Genomic DNA, 7,109 nt, shown 5'->3' with positions numbered 1-7,109 from the left:
CACAGCTTGGGCCGGACACACAGGAGCCTCTGCCAGTTGTCACTTGAAGGGAGACACCCCCAAGGGAGCAGGGCTGATTTCCAGTTGCCCTCGCCAAGGGCCACTGGAGTCCCCACCTCCCCTTCCCACTACTCTTTGACCCCTGATGACATGGTCCTGTGTCTGGGAGGCCCTCACCAGGCAGCACCAAACTCCAGGGAACATCAGAGACACCTGCCAGCCTGCCCTTCCCTGTGGCCTTCCAGAAGGAGGCTCAAGACACAGTGTCCCCCGGAGCCACGTGGGCCTCTGACTGGTGCCCAGTGAGGCCGACAGTTCGCCACCTGGCCACTGGCCAAGCCTGTCTCACCCCTTGGGCAGCCTACCCGCCACCCACCTCCCAGCAGGAGCAGCGACGGGGGCAGCTCTCCACGTCCAAGCCGCCTCCACATCTGACCCGAGGGTGACACGGAGCCGTCACAAGGGCATGACCCTGGGTGCCCAGGAAGGCTGAAGACAGCTCTGGGCCCTGTCTGGGCAGGCCGTGGTCTCAACAGCAGCCCTCGGGGAGGTGATGCCTAAGTCTCTACGCCTCACCTGAGGAGGGCAAAGCACCTTCCAGTCACTGAGCGGCACCTCACTGCCCTGGGGAAGGGAGAGGAGCCGGCATGTTGTGGGAGGCATGGACTGGCTGGGGCTGGGAACTGCCTCCCCTTGCTCTGCTCTGCCCCAGGCCCCCAGTTCCGTGGCAGGTGCCTCAGGGGACGAATCCCGACTTAGGCTGGTCTGAGGCCCCCTGCTCTGTGTCACCCTCAGCTCTGAGGCCCCCTCTTGGCACCGCACTGTGACCGCTGTGCTGGGGACTCAGCAAGGCCAGGGCAGGCACTGGGCCCGGGGCGGGAAGGAGAAAGACCCCCCGGGGGCCCACTGACGCTCATGCTACGGATAGGAACGGTTTTAACATACTGCGGCCTCTGAAAGGGGCAGAAGCCTGTCCCTGTGTGCTTGTCCCGCTGGCCGCAGGCGACGCGACTGCCCTCCCTCCCTGACTGAACCGCAGCCACAAGCCTCCTACAAGCCAGCAGTGCCCAGACTGAGGGGACAGAGAGCGGAGCCCAGACAAGGAGCCGTCCCCATCACATTTGGCCTGCCCCGCTCCCAAACCCTGGGCCACCTCCGAACTCTCAGCCCTGCCGAGCACCTGCTCCCAAGCCCCGTGCCACCTGCGAATGCCGAGGAAGCAAAACCCTGTCCCCTCCTGGTTGAACCCAGGCCTCCCGCTGCTGCCGTGCCCAGGAGGGCTGTCAGAGGAAGCCCAGGACCCCCTCCTCAGGACTCTCTGTGTCCCTGCACACAATTCTGGAGGGAGCAGGCCTGTTCCCACCAGGTCCCCTCATGGAGGCCACAGGAGAGCTGAGAGCCACAGGCCAGCGTCTGGGTGAAGGTGCGGCCTCAGCTTTCCTCACGGGCCCGGCCGCCTCTCGGGTGACCTGGTGTCTGGGAGAGTCTGCCCAGGGGAGGACTCCAGAACGAACCCCAGCAAAGTGGGGAACTCAGGTCCGTCAGAGCTCAGCAGATCCTGCCATGGTGGGACGAGACCTCAGGCACGGAGCAAGACCCCTGCTCCATTTTTCTTGTTAACAAAGCCCTAGATAGAGCCAAATGTCTGCACCCCCGATACCCGTGGGGGCTGTCCCAGTGAAAGTGGGGAGGCCGGGACCCCTCCTACGGCCACACGAGGGAAGTGGGCCGAAGCCCCTCACGTCGGGGTGTGAGGGCGTGCACAGCGCCGGAGCCAGAGGGCCGCCCGCTCTGACCACCGGGGCCGCGGCAGCTCGGATGTGGACCCACCGCGCTCAGGCAGAGTCCTGGAAGCCTGGGTCTCCCTCCCACCCTGGAGTACACCAGGGCCTGACAGCGAGGCACAAAGCCAGATGTGGCTCGCCCTGGAGGAGCTGGGGCTCCTGCCCTGCGCGGTCCAGGCCCGTCGCAGACTTGGGGCAGCATGCCCTTGTTTTCACGTTATGCAGCTGCATGGGAAGCATGAACCCTGCTCCCCAGAAAGCGCGTCCAGGTCTCAGGGACCAGGGAACTTCTCCATTAGAAAGGGGTCAGGTGGGAATGGAGAGCCCCTGGCCCCAGGCCGGGCCCCCAAGAAACTGCTGATAATTCTTATACCTGGATCTCAGGAGCCACGACCAGCATTTTGGGTACTCCAAGGCGGCGGCAGCAGGGTGTGGTTCGCGAGACTCAGCCCAGGCCTTTCCAGAACTGCAGGTGTGCGCGGTGGCCGGGGGTGGGGAGGGGGTGGGGGCTCCCTCCAATAAGGGGCCTCCCAGCTGCAACTCCTCTACCCCAGGGCCCAGCACACCTGCCGCAGCAGCCTGACCCTCCCAGGATCCTCTGGGTGCGTCTGGGTGGTGCCTGAGGATTCCTCTAATTTGGGGCCACCTGGGTTTAGGCTCCTGAGGCCCTAGGGAAGGAAGCAGAAGCCACTTTTCCTGTTTCATGGATGAAAACAGATATTCAGAAAACCTGCCCCAAATCTCCTGCTAACAAGAGGCAAACCCGGCTGACATTCCACCCTGTGGTCCAGCCGGGGCACCTACTTGGCAGCCCACCTGGAAAACCCCAGAGGCCTCCATGGGGGACCCCTAACTCTGCCCAGGATGTGATGCAGGGAGGAGGAAGGTGGGAAGGGAGGGTGCCCTCAGCTACAGTCAGCCTCCTCCGATCCGAAACACCTGGGAGGACCCGGCCCCATCGAGGGATGGCCTGAAAAAGCCATCTCCGGTGTTGCTGCCTCCGCCGCCCTTCCTTCTATAACCACATCCCCAGGGTTCGCCACTCTCTAAACTCACTCTAGGAAAAAGAGGCCTAAATGCACTCAGCAAGGCATCACAATGTCAAAGGCACTTTGGTATTTTGACAAAAATAGCCTAAGGAATGCATCTCTAATTATCAGTGGGCTCTCGGGCACAAGTAGAGATACTTTTGAGAAGGAGTCTCCCAGGTTCAAGCAATTCTCCTGCCTCAGCCGCTCGAGTAGCTGGGATTACAGGCACGCGCCATCACACCTGGCTAATTTTTGTATCTTTAGTAGGGGCAGGGTTCCACTACGTTGGCCAGGCTGGTCTTGAACTCCTGACCTCAAGCAATCCGCCCAGCTTGGCCTCCCAAAGTGCTGGGATTACAGGCGTGAGCCACTGTGGCTGGCTGGAGATACATTTTTGCAGGGCAAGGGGAGACTCCACATGGCACCCACTCAGAGCCAGGGCCTCGGCAGGTAGAAGCCTGGCTGGAAGCCCACCCGGACCCTCTGACGTGCAGTCCTGGTCTTGGCCGCGGTTTGGGCTCTTCCAGTGGTGGATGGCATGCTGAACCCGGGGCCAGTGCAACCCCTGCAGAGTCTGCCGTGTGAGCTTCCCAGAGTCTCTGGAGAGGAGCGGCTGTGGCGCCAGCCCCAGGAAACGGGAGTGGCACCCACGTGGTGCTTTTCTCGGAACCCTCAGTGCACCTGCTGTGGGTTTGTGGGGACTGGGGTGTGTTCTGCATGGACAGCAGTGGCCTGTTTCCACGAGTCCCTCGAATCAGGGGCAAGCCAGGGCCTGTGGCCTCATCCCGGTCTGGACGCTGGGTCTACTGGGCCGCTGTATCAAGGGGCCACACCCTGGGGTGCCGAACACAACAGGAGTCTAAGTGTCGCCAGCTCAGGAGGAAGTCTAGTACCCAGGTGTGGGCGGGCTGTGCCATGGGGCAGGGGTGGGGGCCGGGGGCGGCCGCAGCGGCCTGGTGCTTCTTGGCTGGCTCCTGTGGTCAACACACAACTCCTCTGCACCCGCACGTCACCCTCCCCCTGCGCTCTGAATCCAAGCTTCCTCTTTTCATCAGAGCACCAGTCCTTGGATTAAGGCCCACCTAATGGCCTGACCTTGACTTGATGGGACCTGTGAAGACTCGATTTTCAATAAGGCCCCATGCCCAGAGGTTGGGGGGACCCCAGCATCTTTTAGGGGGACACAGTTCAATCCACGGTGCTGTCCGTCAGCACGCTGTCAATGCTGTCCCTGGCATTTCTGCAGGCACTGGGGCTCCAAGGACCCTGCTGATGGGGTGACCCAGGGCGCAGGCCACAGAGAAAGCACCTTTACGAAGGGCCTGTGTAACCTGCTGCTGGCCTGCATCCGGAAGGGATGCCAAGTCCCTCTCCCCCAGGGGTCCCCTCTCCTATGTCTCCCACCCCAGGTCCCCCTGTCCCAGGCCCGCCCCTGTTCGCAGGAGCCCTGGACAGTGCTCATCCGGGTCCCAGGCATGATGCGGCCCCAGCCCCTCGTCCGGCAGGCATTGCTCCCTTTGTGGCTGGACAAAAGAACACTCAGCGGGCCTGAGTTCTTCCTTCCCTCAGCTGCAGGGCGTGGCCCCACAGCCTGCCGCGAGTAAGGTGTCAGCTCCCTCACACGGCAGGTGGGAATCTCAAAGGACCCTGGCAGAGAGCGGATGGTGTTGCTGGAACCGAGCTCAGGTATCCAACTCGGCAGGACGATGCCGGGGACCCCACAGATCCCTCTCCTGGTGCCCGGGACTTACCCGCTGATGCCCAGCCTCCATGTCACCTCAGAGCAGCTACTGCGACTTCCCACACGCATACGCCCATGGACACACGCACGAACACGCCTGTGGCCTGCAGACTCACACGCACGCTGCCTCGCTGCTTGATGGCTCAAGTCTCACCTCATCTGCCGCAGGCCCAAGGGCTCCCCTCAGCACCGGTCACTCTCCCTTGCCTGTGCTGAGGCATTGTGCAGTTTCATGTGTCTTACGGTTGGTGTGGGTAGGGACTGTTCTAACGGGCAGCACAGCCAAGCCTGCAGCCTGGGCACCAGGAGGACACCACGCTCAACCGCCCATGTCAGGGGCCAGAGATGAGCACTTAGGGGCGTATCTCCCACCCAGGAGCCTGGGCTGCCCGCACTCCCTGCACTTCCTTTAATCAGACCATTCAGGCATTTGCTTGTGAACCTGCAGTGACCACTCCCCATTCCCTGTGCATACGGCCCGTTACCACACACTGTCTTCTCTCTGCCTGACTCTTCACTTCTGCCCTGTGGGATCTGGGGACGGAGGATGGCCCTTCCCACTCCTGGCGCCCTCCCTGCCCAGGACCTGTGAGTAGTAAGTCTTTGAACATGTTTCCTACTGCAGTGGGGACTGAATTTGCACCTTCCACAAGGAAGAACCAGGGGCTGCCCAGGCTGGGTTTTCTCGGGGACGTGGGGGACAGAGGGCAGGCTCCCAACACCAGAGCGATGGTCAGGCAGGCATAACCTGGACGTGAATCAGACAGGAGCCACGGGGCGTCTGCCAGTGTGAGCAAGTTTCCTGGGGGGACTCATGGTTGCAGGTCAGACAACTAGGCATTAGGCCATCTGCCAGGCAAACGACACATCCCGGGAAAGGCACACGGCAAATACCATGTCCATCCCCTTCATCTCCCAAGAGCACAGGGCTGCCAGCCACCTGGCACTGGCACTGAAAGCCACTTTCGCTGGGGGCTCTGAAAACAACCCTGTCTGCCTCTCAGAACCCCCATATCACACAGGATGTGTCCACTGAACCCCAGCTTAAGAACCACCCTTCCTGGCCAGGTGCGGTGGCTCACGCCTGTAATCCCAGCACTTTGGGAGGCCAAGGCAGGTGGATCACCTGAAGTCAGGAGTTGGAGACCAGCCTGGCCAACATGGTGAAATCTTGTCTCTACTAAAAATACAAAAATTAGCCAGGCATGGTGGCACATGCCTGTAATCCGAGCTACTTGGGAGGCTGAGGCAGGAGAATCACTTGAACCCAGGAGGTGGAGGTTACGGTGAGCAAAGATCACGCCACTGCACTCCAGTCTGGGTGACAGAGTGAGACTCCGTCTTAAAAACAAAAAAAAAAACAAAAAAACAAAAAACCACCCTCCCTCTGACAATCCGGCCCTCAGACGGTGGTGTGGGCAGCCATAAACAGTAGTGAGTTCCCCTTCACGGAGGGGGACCAAGCACACAGTGGCGCCCGGTCTGGCTGGATGTTGAGATTTCAAGCACTGGGTTCAAGTTTCCATGGGCCCATGACCTTGGGCCGCATGGGATTGTCCCTCGATGTCTGCCTCCGCATGGGATGTCTGCCTCGATGAACTGCCTTTGCTCCTACAAGAGGGGCCATCTCTCTGAGTCCAAGGACAAGCAAGGCCCAGCTGCCAGACTCTCCTTTGAGGGCCTGGGTCTTCACCTGAGTGTCTCCACTCGAGACAGACAGGGCCTACGTGCCCCCAGAGCATGGGGCAGGGCCTCTAGAAAGGCCACACTGTCTGCAAGCTCCTGCTTCTCTTCCATCCAGTTCAACAAGCCCTGCTGAACCCCCAGCATGCACCTGACCACAGGCGGGCATTGTGCAGGTAGCAAGGGCTGAGCCCCTCCTGGTCTAGCTCTCAAGGACTGTGTTCTAATTCGGAGTGAGGGTTTCCAAGGTTTGGGTCATAAAGCCCTATGAGTAAAAAACGAGCAGTGGCTCCCGCCTGTAATCCCAGCACTTTGGGAGGCCAAGGCAGGAGGATCACTTGAGATCAGGAGTTCAAGACTAGCCTAGCCAACATGGTGAAACCCAGTCTCTAGTAAAAATACAAAAATTAGCCTGGCATGGTGGTGCACACGTGTAATCCCAGCTACTTGGGAGGCTGAGGCAGGAGAATTGCTTGAACCTGGGAGGCGGAGGTTGGAGTGAGACTCCATCTTAAAACAAACAACAGTCAATGGTGACAGAGATGTCTACCGTGTTGGATACCTGTGTGCACATCTCCAGACACTATGGTTACAGTCACTGTAAAACCAGAAAGGCAGGAAGACATACGTGTAGGAAGGATGAAAATGTCAACATAAATGGAACTCTAACCGTTTTTGCCCTGACCGGCAATTCTTGGGGTGGGCTACCCACTGGAAAACCGCTCTTGGGTGTCGGATGGAGGCAGATGGGAGGGGCCAGGCTGCCGGGCCCAGCACAAGTCATCATCCTGATGTCCTAGATGTCCAGGGAAGGGGGCAAGGACCTGGGTCGCCTGCTGCAGTTCAGGAGGGCGGGTCTAGCAGGCTGTG

At 60.3% G+C, this 7,109-nt stretch overlaps 2 annotated features.

Moving 5' to 3' along the window:
• Positions 3,884 to 3,933: a silencer, noted in NCBI's record as "silent region_7869". NCBI's record gives its function as "represses an Ori minimal core promoter by ATAC-STARR-seq in GM12878 lymphoblastoid cells {active_cell/tissue: GM12878}" and the evidence as "EXISTENCE:reporter gene assay evidence [ECO:0000049][PMID:35858748]".
• Positions 5,948 to 6,122: a silencer, noted in NCBI's record as "fragment chr16:88756108-88756282 (GRCh37/hg19 assembly coordinates)". NCBI's record gives its function as "represses an EF-1alpha promoter that drives an FKBP-Casp9 reporter gene in an ReSE screen in HepG2 liver carcinoma cells {active_cell/tissue: HepG2}" and the evidence as "EXISTENCE:reporter gene assay evidence [ECO:0000049][PMID:32094911]".

Source organism: Homo sapiens, chromosome 16 (genome assembly GCF_000001405.40).
Source record: "Homo sapiens chromosome 16, GRCh38.p14 Primary Assembly".
NCBI classification, from domain to species: Eukaryota; Metazoa; Chordata; class Mammalia; order Primates; family Hominidae; genus Homo; species Homo sapiens.
Note: the sequence above shows the minus strand (reverse complement) of the source record. Positions and strands in the feature narration are given on the sequence as shown.